The sequence below is a fragment of the Homo sapiens genome, chromosome 10 (genome assembly GCF_000001405.40).
Source record: "Homo sapiens chromosome 10, GRCh38.p14 Primary Assembly".
In the NCBI taxonomy this organism is placed as follows: domain Eukaryota; kingdom Metazoa; phylum Chordata; class Mammalia; order Primates; family Hominidae; genus Homo; species Homo sapiens.
The window spans coordinates 26,422,657-26,445,061 of NC_000010.11; the positions used below are offsets into that span (position 1 = coordinate 26,422,657).

General features: G+C 42.6%; 1 protein-coding gene across 2 annotated transcripts in view, besides 4 other annotated features; it reads left to right on the forward strand.

The window, feature by feature from the left end:
* Nucleotides 8,021-8,370: an enhancer, noted in NCBI's record as "active region_3165". NCBI's record gives its function as "activates an Ori minimal core promoter by ATAC-STARR-seq in GM12878 lymphoblastoid cells {active_cell/tissue: GM12878}" and the evidence as "EXISTENCE:reporter gene assay evidence [ECO:0000049][PMID:35858748]".
* Nucleotides 15,002-15,531: an enhancer, noted in NCBI's record as "H3K4me1 hESC enhancer chr10:26726587-26727116 (GRCh37/hg19 assembly coordinates)". NCBI's record gives its function as "activates a minimal SCP1, AML or CMV promoter by ChIP-STARR-seq in primed H9 embryonic stem cells {active_cell/tissue: H9 hESC(primed)}" and the evidence as "EXISTENCE:reporter gene assay evidence [ECO:0000049][PMID:30033119]".
* Nucleotides 15,249-15,378: an enhancer, noted in NCBI's record as "active region_3166". NCBI's record gives its function as "activates an Ori minimal core promoter by ATAC-STARR-seq in GM12878 lymphoblastoid cells {active_cell/tissue: GM12878}" and the evidence as "EXISTENCE:reporter gene assay evidence [ECO:0000049][PMID:35858748]".
* The window catches only part of APBB1IP (amyloid beta precursor protein binding family B member 1 interacting protein), a 129,463-nt gene continuing 122,742 nt past the window's right edge, over nt 15,685-22,405 (forward strand). For both annotated transcript variants that reach the window (NM_019043.4, XM_011519514.3), the window contains exons 1-2: nt 15,685-15,799; nt 15,996-16,197. The gene's annotated coding sequence lies outside the window, so the exon portion shown is untranslated. The remainder of the gene's footprint in view (nt 15,800-15,995; nt 16,198-22,405) is intronic.
* Nucleotides 15,939-16,018: an enhancer, noted in NCBI's record as "active region_3167". NCBI's record gives its function as "activates an Ori minimal core promoter by ATAC-STARR-seq in GM12878 lymphoblastoid cells {active_cell/tissue: GM12878}" and the evidence as "EXISTENCE:reporter gene assay evidence [ECO:0000049][PMID:35858748]".

The following is a 22,405-nucleotide window of genomic DNA, read 5'->3' on the forward strand; positions in this document are numbered from 1 at the left end:
AACAATTATTTTAAGATATTGGGCTGGGTGAGATGGCTTGCACCCGTAATCCCAGCACTTTGGGAGGTTGAAGTAACAAGATCACTTGAGGCCAGGAGTTTGAGACCAGCCTGGGCAATATAGGAAAAATTCCATCTCTACAAAAAATAAAATAATAAAATAAAATAAGCCAGACCTGGTGGTCAGGAGGCTGAGGCAGGAATATTCCTTGAGCCCAGGAGTTGGAGGCTGAGTGAGCTATGATGGTGCCACTGCACTCTACTCTGGGTAACAGAGCAGGACTATATCTCTAAAAAAGAAAAAATTATAAATAATTTTTTTAAGATATTGGCTAAGACATCAGTATTTTTAATAGTTACCCTGGTGGTCCTACTGCGCACCCAGAGTTAAGAACCACACTGGATGAAACGAATGGTCCATTTTAATAGAGGAGGTATTTTTAAGTAAAGATGTTATAGCCTGCCTTTTCACACATTTTACAGCCCTAAACCACCTTTTACTAAATTTGGTCTTTCATACAAAAGCTGACTGGTGGTAGCTGCCATTTGCCACCACTGTGTGAAAGGAAATGAGGGTGGGAGAAGAAGTTCTTCAGGCCTTGCTAGGATTAATTCTAAGTAAGCAGGAATCGAATAGTAAAAATCCAGTCATCTCAAAATATCCAAAGAACTCTTACAAACTCATCAATAACACAATAAAGCCAAGTAAAAATGGGCAAAACATCTGCAGATAGTAATTAAGCATATGAAGAGATGCTGAACATCATTTGTCATTAGGAAAATGCAAATTAAAGCAACAATGAGATACCATCACACACCCATTAGAATGGCTTGAATCTGAAAAAGCCACAACAGCAATTGCTGGTGAGAGTGCAGAGCAACAGGAGCTCTCATTTATTGTTGGTGGGGATGCAAAATGGTACAGCCACTTGGGAAGACAGTTTGGCAGTTTCTTACAAAACTAATCATAGTCTTCTTATATGATCCATGTAGAAAGTAAAAGTTCCTCTTCAAAGTTTCCCTTCTTGTTAAAGAATAAATCATAAGTGTTAAAAATAATAGCTTATTTTAAAAACTAACTTCCTTTAAGCATTCTTGCTTTGTGCTAATAACTGTTTGGTAAGTAAGCCCTGTCCTATGTAGCTGTTAAACATGCTCGCAGGCATGTAGTACATTCTATGTCCTTGTACCTTAACCAAGATATTTGTGCTGGACATGCTCACGGGCATGTTCCAGCTTGCAGCCTATGCCCCTTCCTTTTTTGGCATAAGCAACTTCCTCTTTTCCTTTGTCTTTCCATTACTTTCACCTATTTAGAAAAGTTTAAACTGTTAGCCAATTGGGTTTTAGTTTAGATTGTGAGGTCTGGCTCCAGCCAATGGCGACAGGACACAGTAGCAGGGACAAACTGTGTAAGGGATAAAAATTGCTTCCTTCCTTTGTTCAGGTGTGCTCTAGCCATTGTTACATCTGCAATGAGCACCCTTTCTGCAGAAAGTAAAATTGGCCTTGCTGAGAGAATTACATTTATGTTAGAGTGCAGCACCAGGGAACAAGCATTCCATTTTTAAATAAACATTTTACATAGAACAATCCAGCAATTGCACTCCTAGGAATTTACCCAGCTGATTTGAAAACTTATGTCCACACAAAATCCTGCGTGTGAATGCTTATAGCAGTTTTATTCATAATGACCAAAAACTGGGAGTAACCAAGATGTATTTCTGTTAGGGGAGCAGGAGCCTAGGATGACGCCTTTTCTTTCTTTTTTTTTTTTTTAGAAAGAGTCACCCAGGCTGGAGTGCAATGGTGCACGATCTTGGCTTACTGCAACCTCTATCTCCTGGGTTCAAGTGATTCTCCTGCCTCAGCCTCCTGAGTAGCTGGGATTATAGGTGCACACCACCACACCAGGCTAATTTTTGTATTTTTAGTAGAGATGGGGTTTCACCATGTTGTTCAGGCTGGTCTCGAACTCCTGACCTCGTGATCCACCCGCCTCAGCCTCCCAAAGTGCTAGGATTACAGGTGTGAGCCACAGTGCCCGGCCGACAACATTTTTAAATCACCTCCATCTTAAAACTAGCAGGGTGACACCATTTTAAAATCTCCTTCATCTTAAAACTAGCAAGGAACATTGCTTACTGGTCACTTACAAAGCTAAGGAGGTAACTTGGTAATGCCTGCAAGAACAAACTCCTACAGCAACAGGAAGTCCAGAAGTTCCAATAGCCATAACAAGATAGGCTTTCAGGATAACTATAGTTATGCTTTGATGTACTTACACACTAAACTGTCAAGATAGTTTTCTTTAAATCAATCAAATAATAAATTCTATCATGCTGTCAGCCAACCCACACACAGGCACAGCTTAGTTTAGTCTTGTCATAGACAAGACCTCTACATAAGAAAAATCTCAAATAAAGATGGTGCATTCCTCTGTTTGCTTTCTGAGGACATCCTACTCTGTATCTGAGTAGCTTTCAATAAAACAACTTTTTTCACTGCATTCTGCAACTTGCCTTGAATTCCTTTTTGTGTGAGATCCAAGAACCCTCTCTTGGAGTCTAGCTCAAGACCCCTTTTCTGGCTTCCTATAGATGAATGGATAAACAAACTGCAATATATTTATATAATCAAATATTAGTAAGTAGTAAAAAGGAATGAGCTATCAAGCCGCACAAAGACATGAATAAATCCTCAATGCACATTGCTAAGTGAATTAAGCTGGTCTGAAATGGTTACATGCTGTATGATTCCAATTCCATGACATTCTGGAAAAGGCAAAACTAAAGATGTGGTAAACAAAAGGGTAAAATATGCTATTAAAAGGTAAATGTTGGCCAGGCACGGTGACTGATGCCGCTTTGGGATCCCAGCACTTTGTAATCCCAGCACTTTGGGAGGCCGAGGCAGGCAGATGACTTAAGGTCAGCAGTTCAAGACCAGTGTGGCCAACATGGCAAAACCTCATCTCTACTGAAAATACAAAAATTAGCCAGGTGTGGTGGCGTGCCTGTAATCCCAGCTACGTGGGAGGTTGAGGCATGAGAATCGCTTCAACTTGAGAGGCGGAGGTTGCTGTGAACTGAGATCATGCTACTGAACTCCAGCCTGGGTGACAGAGCAAGACTCTGTCTCAAAAAATAAATAAATAAATAAAAGAAATAATAATAATAAAGATAAGTATTCACCTGTCTTCTGGATAAATGTGGGCTTGCTTGTTTTTACATGACTTGCCACCCCACCCATCTGACTTTTTGAAATCATATTTTTCTGAATGTTTGCCACTATTTCAATGTTTGCCACAGCTGTTCTTGAACGAAAAATGTTAATAAAGTAATATCTGCCCTAAAAACTGATTATCCAACCTTTGCTGACTTGCATTTATTATTAAAAGACAAATCTGCATTTATCATCAAAGACAAATTGTTTTTGCTAATTGATTATTAGCAAATGTGTTAGTTAATACCCACTGGGTAATATATCTTGTGACCCGACTTCCAGGGCCAGAGCTGATCAGAACAGGAAAAGGATACCTAATCCAGTCAGATGCTCACTCCTAGGAATTTGGAAGTGGAACACAGGGACTTGCTTCAGTCCCAGTTGGTGTTTGAGATGAGACATGAGGTCAAGCTGGACTGGGTGGCTGAATGGGTGCCCAGGGCTCATCATCCCCCTTGCAAGGGTGCTAACTACTGACTATTCATAGCTGAGATCCTCCCCAGAAATCACCCTTGACCAAAGGGATTCACTTTGTCTAAAGATATGTCCCTCTCACCAGGGACAGCCAGCATCCAATGGCTGGTCAACGCGCACAGTTCAAAGTCTGGCCTAGAACTCCGTATAGAATTGGCTGGAGCCTCCGTTGCTGCTGCATCATAGTTTAATTTCTCCCAGTATCCAATCCTTCTTCCTGCCCTACTTTACATATATTGTTCCTGAAAGCTCTCCTAGGGAACATTCTGCACCATCTCCATCTCCACAAGTATGGAGTCCAGGAAACCTGATCCAGGGCAATGGCTGTGGTAGACCAGAGAAAGCTGATCTGCAGAAAAAGGATAAAAAGGTTGGGCAGAGAATATTAGAGAATATTAGATATCAATCATGTGAGCACACAAAGAAAGAGAGATGGAGAGACTCCCTGGGGGTCCTGGAGTTCTTGGTTTCATCCCTCGAGACCTGGCTATCCTTCCTGCTGTTCCATGAGCTATCAGAGCTTCTCTCCAATAACTTCCCTTTTTGCTTGAGCCCGTTTGAATGGATTTTGATCCTGGCAAATCAAACAATCCCCATGTGTTTTGTACTTTTAATCAATTATACTAGGTAGTCATGATAACTGGTTTACAGACACATGCTCTGGGGAGAGACAGTGTATGCATATACAGTTGACCCTTGAACAACATGGCTTTGAACTGCATGGGTCCATTTACACATGAATTTTCTTTTCTTTCTTTTCTTTTTTTTTTTTTTTTTTTTTTGTGACAGAGTCTTGCTCTGTCACCCAGGCTGGAGTGCAGTGGCACGATCTCGGCTCACTGCAAGCTCCGCCTCCCAAGTTCACACCATTCTCCTGCCTCAGCCTCCCAAGTAGCTGGGACTACAGGTGCCCGCCACCACACCTGGCTACTTTTTGTATTTTTAGTAGAGATGGGGGTTTCACCATGTTGTCCAGAATGGTCTCGATCTCTTGACCTCGTGATCCGCCCGTCTCGGACTCCCAAAGTGCTGGGATTACAGGCGTGAGCCACTGCGCCTGGCCTTATACGTGAATTTTCTTCTGCCTCTGCCACCTCTGAAACAGCAAGACCTCTTCCTCCTCCTCCTCAGACTGCTCAACGTGAAGATGGTGAGGATGAAGACCTTTATGATGGTCCACTTCCACTTAATGAACCTAATAAAGTTTGGATAATCAGCTTCTAGGGCAGATATTATTTTATTAACAATTTTTTCAAGAGCAGCTATGACTTTACTGAAATGGTGGCAAATATTCAGAAAAATATAATTTCAAAAAGTCAGAATATTTGTGCATATAGGGATGGGTGGAGTGGGTAAATCACGTAAACATATTTTCTCTTCCTTATGATTTTCTTAAGATTTTCCTTCCCCTAGCTTACTTTATTGTAAGAATACAGTATATCATACATATAACATACAAAATATGTGTTAATTAACTCCTTATGTTATCGGTAAGGCTTCTGATCAACAGTAGGCTATTAGCAGTGGAGATTTTGGGGAGTCAAGAGTTATACGTGGAATTTTCAACTGCGCAGAGGTCAGTTCACCTAACCCCTGCCCTGTTCAAGCATCAAATGTATATCTCAGAGTTTCACGAATTTCATGCTTATTTAGTACCCTGACTAACACTGGGCCCCCTCCCAAGGGCATAGCCCCTGTGCAGTGTCAGTGCAAAGAAACCAGCAGCCAATTTAATTTCAGACCAAGTCCACATTTCTTAAAACCCCCTTCCTCCTTTTCTTCTCAACTCCACCCTTCTCATATCCTGCAGTTTCCCTCAAACCTTTTTCTCCTTGCCTTGCTCTTAGCTTCCCACCAAAGATTCTCTCCTAAGCCTTCTTGAACTCTCTCATGTCTTCTTCACTCCTCTCTTTCTGCTGCTGGTCTTCATCCTTTCCTTTCTGGTTCTCCTCCTGCTGAGTACCACTGGAGTGTAGGAGAGAAGGGAGTTGGCTTCAAACAAAGGCCAGGGACCAGTAGCAGGTAAGGAGGCAGGTAGAGGGAGGATCTTGTTAACAGGCAAGAGAAAATATATTCACTATATGTGACATATATAATTAGTAAAAATATACTAATTATATATACCTGTTATGGTTAAAATAGAAATCATGAGCAGAGTTATTTTTCATTGCCAGTTTATAATATTTAAAAAGTTAAAGCATTGAAACTTGACTGTGACAGAAAAAATGAGAAGCACAGATACCCAAGATGGTGTCTTGGGTGTTTACTGCTGTGAAGAAACCAACACTTAGAGCAGGGGTCCCCAAGCCCCAGGCCATGGACTGGTACCAGTCCGTGGCCTCTTAAGAACCAGGCCACACAGTAGGAGGTGAGCAGTGGATAAGCAAGTGAAGCTTCATTTGTATTTACAGCTGCCCCTCATCACTCGCTGTATTAGTCCATTTTCATGCTGCCATTAAGAAATACCTGAGACGGGTAATTTATAAAGAAAAAGAGGTTTAATGGACTCGCAGTTCCACATGGCTGGGGAAGCCTCACGATCATGGCAGAAGGGAAAAGAAGAGCAAAGGCACGTCTCACACGGTGGCAGGCAAGAGAGCGTCTGCAGGGGAGCTGCCCTTTATAAAACCATCAGATCTCGTGAGACTTATTCACTATCATGAGAAAACAGCACAGGAAAGACCCACCTGCATGATTCAATTACCTTCTACCAGGTCCCTCCCATGACATGTGGGGATTGTGGGAGCTACAATTCAAGATGAGATTTGGGTGGGGACACAGCCAAACCATATCACTTGCATTACTGCCTGAGTTCCACCTCCTGTCAGATCAGCAGCAGCATTAGATTCTCATACGAGCACAAACCCTCTTGTGAACTGTGCATGTGAGGGATCTAGGTTGTGAGCTCCTAATGAGAATCTAATGTCTGATGATCTGTCACTGTCTCTCATCACCCCCAGATGGGACCATCTAGTTGCAGGAAAACAAGCCCAGGGCTCCCACTGATTCTACATTATGGTGAGTTGTATAATTATTTCATTATATATTACAATGTAATAATAATAAAAATAAAATGCACAATCAATGTAATGCATTCGAATCATCCTGAAACCATCCCCCCCACCAATCTGTGGAAAAATTGTCTTCCACGAACCCAGTCCCTGGTGCCATGAACTTAGTCCCTGGGAGACCATTGACTTAGAGGCTTAAGACAGCCATTTATCATCATCTTTCAGGGATATGAGGCTCAGCGCAGTGGTTCTCCCTTGGTCTCTCAAGCAGTTGTATTTAGAGGACAGCTGGCGCTGGAATCATCTGAAGTTTTCCTGGGTCTGGGCAGTGAAAATGGTGTCTTCACTTCACATCTGATGCCTCCATGCCCCACCATGTGGCTTCATTGCCGACACAGTAGCCAGGACTTCTTCATGACTGCTCAAGGACAGAAGAGGCAGGATTTAAGTACTATGTTCACCATCACTTCTGTTCTATTCTATGTGTCAAAGTACATTCAAGGGAGAGGGAGAGAAATGGATCCTACCTCTTAATGGGGAAGGAAGATATGGCCATGACTAGCTTTGGAAAATACAGTCTACTACAGATGGCATAAAAGTTAGATTTTTAAAAATAAGCTAGATATTTAAATCAGAAACTAATATCCCCTACAATTGAGGGCAAGTCAAATAAAATAAATAGACAAAGCTTTATAAAATGCTAAACTAAAGAAAATTACCTGTGAAAAAAAAGAATGACAGAAAGAAAAAGAAAAAGCTAGCAGGATTCTGACTTCAAGTCAACCCGGGTCCCCTTACAGAAGGTGAAAGTACTTTGGTCAGGAAGAGATTGGCCAGAATACATGTTGGATTTGATGGGCTTGCCAACAGAGTGAGGTAGTGAGACACAGTCAAATCCAACTCAGTGTAAACTGAGTTTCTTTACAGTTCTATAACACACATCTTTTAGCCACTAACCATCTTCTTCCGAAATACCTGAGGAATTCTGCTTTTATTTTCTTGAGACAGAGTCTTGTTGTGTCACACAGGCTGGAGTGCAGTGGCACAATCTCGGCTCACTGCAATCTCCGCCTCCCCAGCTCAAGGGATTCTCCTGCCTCAGCCTCCTGAGTAGCTGGGATTACAGGCATGCGCCACCATGCCTGGCTAATTTTTGTATTTTTAGTAGAGACGGGGTTTCACCGTGTTGGCAAGGCTGGTCTCAAACTCCTGACCTCAAGTGATCTGGCTGTCTTGGCCTCCCAAAGTGCTGGGATTACAGACGTGAGCCACTGCTTCTGACTGAAGTCTGTTTTCATTGGTCACTGTCCAAAGAGAATGCCACCTGGGGGGGTTTTCCCCCACACCATCGTCTCCATGATGGGCTGTTCTTCTGTGTTCATGGCCCCATGGGTCATTCTCTTCCCCACCTCCCAAACTCTTTCTTGCCACTCCTGTATCTTGAAGCTATTTCTGGAGTGTTCTGCTAACCTCAGGCTTTAACTGTGCCCTGAGGGCACCATTTCCACTGCAGCTTTCTCAAAAGAAAGTGGTTTATTCTCTTAAATTCCAGCCACCTTAAGTTCGGAAGGTGAGTTTATGGTTCTCTATGCTCCTCACTGCTACTTGCAAATCATAAATGACTAATCTTTTTATTAAAAACAAAACTAAAAGCAAGCGAAAAAAGCTTTCTCTTTTGAGGCTCATGCCACTTGACTAAACAATCCAGTTCTGCTTTCTCATTTCAAAACCTTGACACGTGACTCCCTGTCACCCTTTAAGATGACCTGAAGTCCTGTCATCATTCTGTTTGCCTGGGACAGTCATGAATTATAACTGTTTCTGTCTTTTTTTTTTTTTTAGATTATTGTCTCTGTCTTTATTTTTTAAATACTTATTTATTTATTTATATGTTTTATTATACTTTAAGTTTTTTTTTTTAGACAGGGTCTTGCTCTGTCACCTTGGATGACTGCAGTGGCATGATCACAGCTCACTGCAGACTCAAACTTCCAGGCTCAAGCCATCCTCCCACCTCAGCCTCCTGAGTAGCTGGGACTACAGGCACACACACCACACCCAGCTAATTTCTTATTTTTTGTGGCTGTGTTGTCCAGGCTGGTCTCAAACTCCTGGACTCAAGCGATCCTCCTGGCTTGAACTCCCAAAGTGCTGGGATTACAGGTGTGAGCCACTGCACGTGGCCTACAACTGTTTCTTAGCTTCCGATCCACTTGGCAATTTGGTACTCTCAAAAGTGTCCCGGTCTTGAGACAATAAATGATGTGGCCACTCCAATCCTGAGTGACTTAAACAGTTAGCTGGGATGATGCACATAGCCCCTTAGCCTCTCATTTCCTTGGTCATCTCAGCCACTCAGGCCCACAGTCACCCCTGGTCTATGTCAGCACACATTATTTCACTACCTCCAGAAGCAAGTTCACCCTGCCTACCTTCCGACCACAATAACCCATCCTTCCATCTGGTTTGTTTGGCCACTCCCATGGCGGCCACACTTTCTCCAAACCTAGCCCTGCAGGAGAGAGGCACAACCGAGCAGATGGCTTCCACTATAATTCATGATCGCCAGTTTCAAATGGACCCTCAGTCTGCCTGGAAATCCCACTACATGTTTCTGATCACCTCTCTCTCCCATTCTCTTCAATGACCTTATCAAACTTTCTCCAGCTCCCCAAATCCATGCCTGGCCTACCTCATAGTTCACTCTCAGCAGATGAACCTTCTTCTCACAAGGAAAACAGAGGCTTTAGATTAGAATTTCCTTATCTTACAGCCATATGAAAGAAGATCCTTATCTACTCTAAACTCACCCTTCTGCCTTTCCAGTAAAATGGAGGAGGTCTCTTTTCTCTTATCTGGGAGCCCATTCATTTACCTTCATTTGGACTCAACCCACTTCCTCCATCTTGAAAACTTTTCACCATCAATTATTTCTACTCTCTTGTTAATGTCAACTCCTCACTATCATCTCAATTCTTCCTGTTTGAAAATAATGTTAAAAAGATACATAAAAGGCTGGGTACACTGGGGCTCAGGCCTATAATCCCAGCACTTTGGGATGCTGAGGTGTGAGGATCTCTTGAGCCCTGGAATTAGAGGCTGCAGTGAGCTATGATCACACCACTGCACTCCAGCCTGGGCAACAGAGCAAGACCCTGTCTCTAAAAATAAAATAAAATAAAATAAAATAAAATAAAATAAATAAAATCTTCCTCAATTTCATGTCTCCCAACCACTGCCTCCCTGTCCCCTTTCTCCTCTTTATAGGTGATATGGTTTGGCTGTGTCCCCACCCAAATCTCACATTGAATTGTAATAATCTGCACATGTCAAGGGCAGGGCCAGGTGGAGATAACTGAATAATGGCAACCATTTCTCCCATACTGTTCTTGTGATAGTGCATAAGTGTCATGAGATCTGATGGTTTTATAAATGGGAGTTCCTCTGCACATGCTCTCTTGCTTGCTGCCATGTAAGACGTGACTTTTCTCCTCATTCCCCTTCCACCATGATTGTGAGGCCTCCCCTGCCATGCTGAACTGTGAGTCAATTAAACTTTTCTTTATAAATTAGCCAGTCTCCGGTATGTCTTTATTAGCAGTGTGAGAACAGATCAATACAATAGGCAAACTATTCACAAGTGTTGCTTTGCTCACCATCTTCATTTCTTCACACCCTATTCACCCCTCAACCCACTTTGGCCTCCAGCCCCAACATGCTATTACAATTGGTTTCTGAGGTCACTAACATTGCTAAAGCCAATTGCCACTTTGCAGTCTTGTCTGACTTGTCCTTGCAACATCTCTGGATATCACTGACCACATCCTCCCACACTGTGGCTTCCACAGAACTTTCCCCTGGTTTTCCATCCACCCCTTTAAAGCTCTTCCTCTGTGTTCTTTGTGGGCTCTGTGTCTTTTGCTTTGGATGGTGGAGTTCCTTAAGGCTTAGCCTGAGGCCTCTGTTTCATCCCACACCATAGTCTCTCTACGCAATCTCATAAATCACCACCTATATGATGATTACTCAAAATGTATATCTCTAACTCTGAACCACGCTTCTCTGGGCAAAGGATTCTTATATACAATTCTCTACTTGAAGTCTCCCCTTGGATGTCCTAAAGATTTGTCAAATTCAACTTGCAAACAATAAAACTCACTATCTTCCCCTGCCCAAATACTCCTCTTCCAGAGTTCCCCATCTTGATGATGGGATGGTCAGCCATCATCATACAAACCTGATTCTTTGGAGTCATCCTTGCCTCCCCCGCTCTTCTCCCTCTGCCTATATCTAGTCCTCTGAATCTCTGGCAAACTACCTTCTAAATGTCTCTCAGTTTCACCCATTTCTTCGCATTTCCGCTGCTGCTGACCTAGTCAAAACAATTATACAGTTGACCCTTGAACAACATGGGTTTGAACTGCATGGGTGCATTTATACTTGGATTTTCCTGCTGCTTCTGCCGCCCCTGAGACAGCAAGATCAACCCCTCCTCTTCCTCCTCCTACTCAAGTTGAGTAACGTGAAGATGAGGATGAAGACCTTTATGATGATCCACTTCCACTTAATAAATAGTAAATATGAGGTCAGTCACAGTGGTTCATGCCTGTAATCCCAGCACTTTGGGAGGCTGGGGCAGGAAGATCGCTTGAGGCCAGGAATTTTAGACAAGCCTGGGAAACATAGCAAGACCCCATCTTACAAAAAATTATTTAAAATAAAATTAGCTGGACATGATGGTGCATGCCTATAGTCCCAGCTGCTCAGGAGGCTGAAGCAGCAGGATCCCTTGAGCCCTGGAGTTTGAGGTTACAAGGAGCTATGATCTCACCACTGCACTCTAGTCCAGGAACAGAGTGAGACTCTGAAAATAAATAAAAAATAAATACATAGAAAATATATTTTCTTTTATGATTTTGTTAATAACAGTTTCTCTAGCTTACTTTATTGTAAAAATACAGTATTTAATACATATAACATAATATGTGTTAATCGACTGTGTTATCAGTAAGTCTTCTGGGCAACAGTAGACAATTAGTAGTCAAGTTTTGTGGGAGTCAAAAGTTATACATGGATTTTCAACTGTGCAGCATTTTGGTACCCCTAAAACCTGGCATTGTTCTGTTACAGTAGGTAGCTAGTCAGGCATGAGCAGGGCAGGAGAGGGCTCCCCTCACCCCCTACCAGGAATGTCAGGCGACTATCAGGTGGTGGTCAGGGGACTGTTAACCGTGTCTCTAAAATAATAATTGATCACAGCCAGCACCAGGGAAAGGCAGTCTCCCAATAGATAGAAACACCTGAAACTGGTGATCAACAGCTTCCAGATAAGATCTCAGGAGTTGGGCGAGTGGGCTCAAGCATGTGCACTAAGAGGTAAAATGGTGGAGTTTAACTGGCAAATGACCTTCCAGGGACATTTGGTAAGGGAAGAATGCCTAAAGTGAACACGCGTACAACTTCAGTAAACACACTGCGCATGCTCACCTCCCAAGTGCTGGCACGCCACTGCTCATGTGGACAGCCCACTCCATGGGAAGAATCAGGAGGAGGAAGACAAGACCCCGAAGTATGTCAATGCGTAAAGCCCCAAGTCAAAAGTCAAACAGCGCACTTCTCTCAAGTCACCCGCTTGGCCCTCTTCCAAGTATAATTTACTTTCTTTTGTTACTGCCCTACAGTTTTCTAATAAACTTTCGCTCCTGCTCTAAAGCTTGCCTTAGTCTCTTCTTCTGCCTTATGCCCCTCAGTTGAATTCTTTCTTCTGAGGAGGCAAGAATTTAGGTCGCTACAGACCCATATGGTTTTGCCAAAGCTAACATATTTTGGTGCCGTGTCTCAGATATATTCTGCTGCTGGCAGTTCAAAGGCCAATTGTATTTTCTTTCCCAACTTAGCTCAGAAGTCTTCCTGCATCTATTCTTTTCTTCATCTGATCCGTTCCCCAAATTATGCCAGAGTGATTTTCCTAAAGCATAAATCCCATCATTTGCCAGCTTAAAATATTATTTAATATATTCTCATTGCTCTTAGGATGAGAAAATAATTCTTGACATAGTCCACATGACCCTACATGGTTTGCCCCTACTGACCTTACCTCTAACCAGACCTTCCATAACTCCAATCATACTGGTTTCCATTCAGTTTCTAATCCCTCTGCCACTCCCTTACTCCCATCCCATTTCCCAGCCCACCCATCAGCAAATGCTATTGGTTCTACTTTGCTAGGTGGTTGTTTGTTTGTTTGTTTAAATAGTCTTGCTCTGTTGCCCAGGCTGGAGTACAGTGGCATCATCATAGCTCACTGCAGATTTGAACTCCTGGGCTCAAGCAATCCTCCTGCCTCAGTCTCCCAAGCAACTGGAACCATAGGCATAAGCCACCATACCCAGCTAATTTTTTCCCCCATTTTTGTAGAGATAGGGTCTTGCTATGTTGTCCAGGCTAGTTTTGAACTCATGGCCTCAAGTGATCCTACCACCTTGGCCTCCTAAAGCACTGATATTACAGGCATGAGCAACTGTGCCAAGCTTTGGTTTTATTTTGAAAACTGTATCTTGATTCCAAACTCTTCTCACCATATCTACTGTTAGAATACTAATAAAGCTACTATCATTTTTCATCTGGACTCTGACCATAGTCTACTGAGGAATCTCTCTTCTCTTGCTTCAATCAATTGATTTTCTGAACAATCACCAACTGGCAGGATGGCTTATCGCTTAAGTCAAATCATGCACTCAGTTGCTAAATACATTCCAATAGTCCCCCATTGCAATTAGAATAAAACCTAAAGTCCTCAATGCTGGCTACAAGGTCCTGCTTGTTCTGGTTCCTGCTTACCTCTCTGTCCCCATCCACTATTGCTGCCCTACTCTTTCAGAACATTCCAGGCACACTGGCCTGCCTTCTTTTGAACTTTCTATGTTCCTATCTCAGCCCCTCTTCTTGTTCTTCCTTCTCTTGGAATCCTTTCCCAAGTTTCTGAATGGCTGCCCCTTCTCATTACTTTGTAAAGAGGTGATCCTTGACCACTTTCCCTGCCCCAAGAAAGTCACTCTCATTGTTTGATTTTATATTTTATGTAGCACTTACAACTCTGCTCAGAACCTTCCACTGGCTTTCCATCTCACTCACATCAAATTCTCTTCCACAGCTCCCAAATAGCACACAATCTGGGCACCATTTCCTTTTGATCCCATCTCATGTCTGTCCCTCCCATCTCACTCTGCTCAGCCGTACTAATTTCCTTGGTGTTTTTCCAATATCTTAAGTGCTCTCCTAACTCAGGGTCTTTGAATGTGCTGTTCCTTTTGCCTGGAATATTCCCATCTAAAAACCCAGTGTGGATTAATCTCTCATGCCATTTAGATCTAGCTCAAGTGTCACTTATCAGACAGAAATACCAGTTTCAGGTGTTTCTGTCTATTGGGAGACTGCCTTTCCCTGGTGCTATATTAAAAAAAATTAGGATAAATAAATAATAAATAAATAAATGAAAAATACATTTTCTCTTCCTTATGATTTTATTAATAACAGTTTCTTTTCTCTGGCTTACTTTATTATAAAAATACAGTATTTAATATATATAAAATAATATGAGTTAATCGACTATGTTATCAGTAAGGCTGATAACAACTGCTTGATCATCACCTGATGGTCACCTGACATTCCTGGTAGGGGGTGGGAGGAGCCCTCTCCTGCCCTGCTCATGCCTGACTAGCTACCTACTGTAACAGAACAATGCCAGATTTCAGGAGTACCAAACTGCTGCACAATTGAAAATCCATGTATGTCTTTTGACTCCCCCAAAACTTAACCACGAATAGCCTACTGTTGACCAGAAGCCTTACTGATAATATTAAACAGTCAATTAACACATATTATGTTATATGTATTTAGATAAATACTGTATTTTTACAATAAAGAAAGCTAGAGAAAAGAAACTGTTATTAAGAAAATCATGAGGAGAAAATATATTTTCTATTTATTTATCGTTTATTTACCCTAATTAATACAGCAACCCCATCCCCATGCCCATCACTCTCTATCCCTCACCTTTTAACTTCCTTCAAAACTAGTTACATTCCTTGACATGTTAAATATTAATTTGTTTATTGTCTGCTTTCTACCAACTAGAATGCACCATGCATGAGAGCAGAAATTGTTTCCTCTAACTATTTTCATTGTTCTTAGAAGTGTTGGTGCTTACGAATAGTTTCTCATTAAATAAATGACAGAACTATTTGAAATTGCCTAATTAACACATGCACCTAATTTCTGTCTTTATGTCTTCACCACCTTCCCTGACATATAAGCCTTTGAAGACACAGCTGTAGAGGAGAAGGGGAGGGTTATTCAACCGCATTTACAAATCATAACTGATTTTAACTTCTGTATTTTCAGACCTCCCCAGCGACTTTCTCTCAGGAAACTCCACTCCCAACTGACAGGTGCTATTTCCAGCCAGTCCTATGCTGTTGCAAATAGTGAGTCCATGAATGCCCTCTGCCGTGTGCATTACTTATTTTCATCAGCAGATCTTCGTAACACACTCCTGGAAGTGGGATGACGGGGTCAAAAGGCGAATCCATACATAAGTTAAATAGATATTGCTCAATTCTCTTCCACGGGGTTCAGACCATTTTGGATTTCTACGAGCAATGAAGACAGTGCTATTCCTCTACACCCTGGCCGGCCAACTGAGCGTGGTTAAACGTGGGGAGGGAGGAGGGTGAGGTTACCAACCTGATGGTTGAGAAAGGGCCTCCGCCCAGCGCGCCCTTCCTCCACCCCCACCCGAGAGACAGCTGAACTCCGGCCGGGACGCGCGTGTTGCCAGTCCAGCCCTGCACCGCGTCCCCTGAGGGCGGGCTGCAGGCGGCCGGGAAGCCTTGCACAACCGGCCCAAAAGAGGAAGCCCAGAAAGTGCTGAAGTAAACACTTTGGGAGACCGTTGCAACATAAAGCGGCCTCTCAGTCTTTGGTGGAACCATCACTAGGCCCCAATCCCTTAGTCCCTCTTGCGTCGAGGCTGCAAAATGGTTCCATTCGCCAGGAGACGCTCCTGAGAGAAGGGCGCGCGCGGCACAGGTAGGGGGAGGCGCAACGTTTCCCAGAATTAAAATAAAATAAAATAAAATAAAATAAAAATCCCTTCAAGGTGGTTGTGTAGTAGGGGTGGGATGGGGGAGAGAAAATCAGGCGCAGACTCGATGAGTTGGAGAAAGCAGCCCCTAACTCGGAGTCCTTTACGCATATGTTTGTCTGTCCCACTGTCTCTAACCAGGGGCCTTCCTTGCACCTCGGAGCAAAGCAGCTCGGATAGCGCCACACGTCTGCGCGCTGCGTGGGAAGGGCAGGGCTGACAGCACTTCCTCCCCGGGGCAGCGACCTGGAGCCCGGGTGCGGCAGTCTGCACCGCGCGTCGCTTTCCCGGCCGGAGTCTCGCCGCCTTCCCGCGCCCCGCAGCGCCCCGCAGAGCAGTCGAGGTAAGTGGCGCTCCCAGTCCCGGGAGCCCTGGGAGCGCCAGCACGGGCCCCTCGGGGCTGTCAGGAACCCGTTTGTCAAGCCCGTCGGGTCCGACGCCGGGGGCAGCTCCAGGATCTGGCCTCGTGAACGCGTGCCCCCAGGCGTGGCCCTCGAGCGCAGCGGGTCCCCAGGGTCCCCTCCGCTGATCTCCACTCTGGACCCGGCTCGCGAGGGTGGGGGTGTGAGGGTTTGGGGTTCGGGTTTGCTTTTTCCCGAGCTATTGCAACAGATTTGACAGATTTCCTGCCCAGGAAATTGCTGCAAGGTCAAACGGGGAACTGCTATGAACCCTTGCACGTCCAGCAGGTCAGCAGGTCAGCAGGTCAGCAGGTCCGGGAGCCCCAGTCTCCCGGAACCTGGAGGGATTCTTGAGGGGCCAAGATTAGATGTGGATTAAATGCCAGCCGTGTGAGAATTTGAGTGTGGCTCGCAGTCTGATGCATCTTAGAGTGTTTCCTTCCTCTAAAACTTTTGGACAACTCTTTCCTCTTTTTAAAAATAACTTTTTCCCCCGAATATTCTCATTTTCATTTTAAAATACCATAAAGATAGATTTGGACACCAGGCACAAGTTTCATAATTTGGCTTGAAATGAATATCCAGAGGGCCTTTTACAGAATGGAGGAAACTAACTAGGGTGTCCTAATGTCTCCAAGAACCTCTGCGCAGGTGTTCCACCAAAGACCTAGCCCGGTGTACCTCTTACTTTCCTGCTAAGGTATTTCTTAGTTCATACCCCTGTGGAACGTGAAATGTGTTTCCTAGACACTCAGGGCATAGCGGTTCAAAAGAACTTTTAATGTGATCCTTGACGAGACGGAGTACTAGAGGAAAGTAACAAAAGAAAAGGGCCCGTGAGTTTATTATGCCCCCAGATGTTTTTTTCTGGTGGCATAACGTGGTTTAAACAAAGGTGCCGGTACTAGCTACTATTCATTTTAAAATCTGGGTCTCCAGAGAGAAATTTCAGAAAGGAAAACTTTGTCCTTTTTCATAAACCTAGAGCAGCGATTTTCCCTCTGGCCTCACTGGAATAATGGGTGGCACATGGGCCAGGACGATGATGCTGGCTGGCGAAATTAGCAAGGATCTGCTGAGAAATACTTTATAAAGTCTTCTAGTGGTATTTCCTGTCTGCTCAACGTGTGTTGTGAAAGGTCTAAGAAATTTAACTTCATCCTTAAACTATTAATAATGTGTGTCCTTAAACTATTAATCCTTAAACTATTAATAATTACTAATATTTGGGTTTTTTCTCAGCACTTGGGAGACCTGGGTTCTGGCTCTTATATCTCCCCCATCTAGATAAGGATGATATTGATTAACTTGCATAACTTCTCCCTGGACTTCAGATAACGTCAGTAAAGTGAGATGATTGGGCTACATTATGTCTGTTCTTAAAATAGCAATTGAGGAGTTGCTATAATTCTTTGAATTGGTCCCAACTGGAATACTGGCAACATTATATCAACATTAGAATTGCTGATCACAAATTTTTTAAAAATGGAGAAAATAATCATAACCATAACAGATTACATTCTGAAATATCAATATCTTTGAGGTCTTTTGTTTCTGAGAAGTTCCTGTAAAAGCGCAGTCAATATCTGGCCTATATGTAAAAAGGCAAATTTCCATCTTATTTGAAAACTGAGATAAGAAACAGCCCAAACTTGAACAGGTCAATATTATATTTTGAAATCTTTAAATTGCTATTTCTCAAGAAATATAACTTTGTAATATGAATTACTTTATGGCATTACTTTAAATCTTAAACACAATACTAGGTTTTATAGTATTTATTACATTTTTTGTATTTTTATATCCTAAGAATGTTCACCAGTTATCCACTATTGATTTGCCTTTTTTCACTCATCAATCAAAGTTTTAAATAGTTCCATATTATTATTAGAATGAGCTACTTATAAAGTTCATTGCCATAAATGTCTGTTTGATATGTCACTTTGAATTTTCTTTAAGCCATCTTACTTCCAAAGAGCATTATTATTTTCATTTTCTTCTAATTCTCTTCAATTTTATTTTAATTATTTTTATGCCTAAAACATTTTAGTGAGTCCACAAATCTTATAATAAATTGTCTGCGTTCCATAGCCTATTGGACCACAATCTTTACAATTTTATAGGACCCCATGAGTTTATATTATGGAGACTACGGTGATCTTAGGAATGCTTGCCTCAAAACAGAACAATTTTTATTAACACAACAGGTATCTTCTCAGTATGAAAATGAATGTGTGTGTTTTATGTCACTGCTGTCATCTAAGAGGCAAGTCACTTAAAGCTTAAGCATTTATTATAAATTCATGTACATAATAAATGCCAGATTTTAAAGTGTAAGATTTCTACACTGGTTGCATGGGGATTTTAAAATACATATTACACTTTTAATTATCGTGAGAAACATGACTTTTAGAGAAAACTGCTAGATATCTGGAACAGTAATCATTAGATTTCTCTTGAAAAGAGAGAACTAGCCGCATGAAGGAATGCCATTACACCTATACCCAGTTAAAGAGACTAGATTGTACCTGCAGCTTGGAAGGGCAGACCCTGAGGACAGCTTTTGGGGGACTAGAGGATGTGACCTGCCACCACTGCATCATCATTTCCTAGCCAATTTGTGATCCCAAAATGAGGACTCCAAAGAGGCTGGCTAAATGTGCAGAATATATTAATCTCACTGAGTGGTACCATGGAAATATCACAAGCCCCTGAGATCCCGTTGGCTCCACTGGTCCCAAACCTCAGGCATGAGCAAGCAGAGAGGTGACACCACTCCAAGGCATCACACGTTCTCATTATTCCACATATTCTGGAGCTTGATTCCGTGACTCAGTTTTAAAACATTTCCTGAGCGTTGACCATGAACTTGAATAATTAAGAATCATAAGAGCTATTTTCTTTCTTCTCTGTCAACTCAGTTTTCTCTTTGATCATCACATAGTAATAGCAAATAATAATTATTATAATGTTTACTTATAAATACTACCAGGCCCTGTACTAATTTAGATGTGTCATCTTGTTAATCATCACATCAAGATGAAAGCACAGAGAGGGTAAGAAACTTACGCAGGAAGTAAGAAACAGAGCTGTTGTTTGAACTGGGCCATCTGATGGTGGCACCCATGAAAAAACCTGGGGCCTTTCCACAATGAGTTTATAGTCTAGAAGAGGAGATGTAACTAGATGTAAGAGGAGATGTAGAATTCCATGCGGAACCAGAGTTGAGTGCTGTGGGACTACATATCAGGGTCCCTGGTCTCCCCAACCAGGGTCACGGGAGAAGGTTGAATAGAAGGAAACCAAGCAAAGAACTTATCGTGTTATCATGGGAAGACAAGTTAATATAATCAACTTTGAAGTTATTATCTTTACGTGTGCCTTGAAAAAAGAATCTGCTTTGTTAGCAATCGTGTGTTTTCATTTTTGTGTTTATTTTATTCTAATCCCACATGACAGCCGGCTAGGTTGATTAAATCAACAAGCAAGCAGTGAGTTTAATATTTTTTCTAATTCTGTTGGGGATCTTTTTGATTTAGTTTCATGTTACAGACTCATCAGTGAGATGGTTGTGGGCTGGGATGGGGGATAAAAGCTAAATCACACAGCAACTGTGTTTCCCCAAACCGACTGGAGGGTTTGCATCCAGAGAGCTACATCACATCAAACTGGAGAGAAACAAAAAATGATATTAGAGCAAGTGAATCATGACTAGATTCATTTCTTCCTTCATGTTTTATTATGAAATGTTTCATATCTACAAAAGATGATGTATATATGTAAATAACAACAAATAATAATAAAGCCAACATCTGGGTACCTATCACCCAGCTTAAGAAGTAGAATATTTACCAAGACATTTCCTGGTCTCCTTCCAATAACATTTCCCCATTTCCCAGCTAGAGGTAATCATTATTCTGAATGTGCTAATTTTTAAAAAGCTTTTAGGAAGCATGTACATACATTTGTAAAGGATGGTGTCAAACTGGGGATCAAAGAACACTGGCATGGCAGACTGGAGTCAGGTTCTCCACCGACTCTGGGTGGTCACAAGCAGCTTGTGCTGTTCAGTAAAGACAGCTTACTTTAATTGAATAGCATAAAAACAACATGTATTAGAAATAGTTAATAGTAAGTACCACGGAAATTGTGCTATCTTAGACATTGATAAAGTGACCAAGAATCATCAGTAAAGAACTATGAGTTTTAAGTGGAATAAAGAATATGTGGCCGGGCGTGGTGGCTCACACTGGTAACCCCAGCACTTTGGGAGGCTGAGGCAGGAGGATCACTTGAGGTCAGGAGTTCAAGACCAGCCTGACCAACATGGTGAAACACTGTCTTTACTAAAAATACAAAAAAATTAGCCTGGCATGGTGGTGCATGCCTGTAATCCCAGCCACTCGGGAGGCTGAGGCAGGAGAATCGCTTGAACCCAGGAGGTGGAGGTTGCAGTGAGCCAAAATCATGCCATTGCACTCCAGCTTGGGCAACTCTATCTCAAAAAAAAAAGTTTCAAGAGCGAAACTCCATCTCAAAAAAAAAAAATTACTTATATGAGGAAAATAAATAAAGGAGGCAAAAGAAAAAAAGAATATGTAACTTAGGAAGTCATCTCCACTTTATTTATTTATTCATTCATTCATTCATTTTTGAGACAGGGTGCAGGCTGGAGTGCAGCAGCACAATTAAGGCTCACTGTAGCCTCAACCTCCTGGGCTCAAGCAATCCTCCTGCCTCAGCCTCTCATGTAGCTGGGATCACAGGTGTGCGTCACCATGCCCAGCTAATTAAAAAAAAAATTTTGTAGAGACAGGGTCTCATTTTGTTGCCCAGGCTGGTCTCGACCTCCTGGGCTCAAGTGATCCTTCCACCTCGGGCTCTCAAAGTCTTGGGATCACAGACATGAGCCACTGTGCCCGGCCAGATCTCCAGTTTAAATACAATTCAATCATTTTCAGTCAAAAATGTTTGCTAAGCACTATTATAGACGCAAGGAATGTCAGTGAACAAAAGAGACAAAGATCCCTGCATTTGTGGAGTTTATTCTGGTGGACAGATACAGATGCTACTCAATAAGCATAATAAATAAGTAAATAATATAGGTATTAGTAAGCGAAAAGCAAGGTGAAGTTGCAATATGCGATAAGGTGGTCAGGCTGGGCCCTTTCGTTTGCAGGAGACAATGGAGTTAACCAAGTGGCTATCTGGGGGAACAGTGTTCCAAGCACAGGGAACAGTCGAGGCTGTAGGGCAGGGGCATGTCTGTGGATTTGAGAAGCAACAAGAAGGCCCCTGTAGTTAGAGGTAAATGAGCAAGGGAGAGAGAAACAGATGTGGTTGGAGAAGTATGAGAAGGGCGAGGAGATAGCAGATCACGTGGGGTTCCAGAGGCCATTATAAAACTTTGACTTTCACACCGAGCAAAATGGAGGGGCCATTGCAGGATTCTGAGAAGGCGAATAACATGATCTGACTTAAGGCTCACTCTGACTGCTTGAGAATAAACCTGGGGGAGCAGAGGTGAAAGCAAGGAACCCATGACAAAGCGTTGGATTCTGCGTATATTTTGAAGGAGAGCCAAGATTTCCCGACAGAAGGAATGTGGGGTGTTTGAGAAAGAGGAGTCAAGGATGACTTCAAAGTCTGTGGCCTAAACAACTGGAAGGATGAAATTGTCATCAACTAAAGTCAGCAAGTTGGAAGGGAGATGATTAGAAGTTCAATTTTGGATGTAGATATGAAGTATCATTTGGGAATACTGATGTGCTTATTATATATAAGGCTAAAAGCAGGGTAACCATTTGGGAAGATACTGTTATTGCTCCTATTTTGCAAATTAGAAATGACAGGTAAGGGAGTTTAGGAAATTTGCCCAAGGCTACACAGTTTAAGAAATGGGACATAGGCTGCGTGGTGGCTCACGCCTGTAATCCCAAACACTTTGGGAGGCTGAGATGGGTGGATCATGAGGTCAAGAGATCAAGACCATCCTGGCCAACATGGTGAAACCCTGTCTCTGCTAAAAATACAAAAATTAGCTGGGCATGGTGGTGCACGCCTGTAGTCCCAGCTATTCGGGAGGCTGAGGCAGGAGAATCGCTTGAACCCAGGAGGTGGAGATTTCAGTGAGCCAAGATCATGCCACTG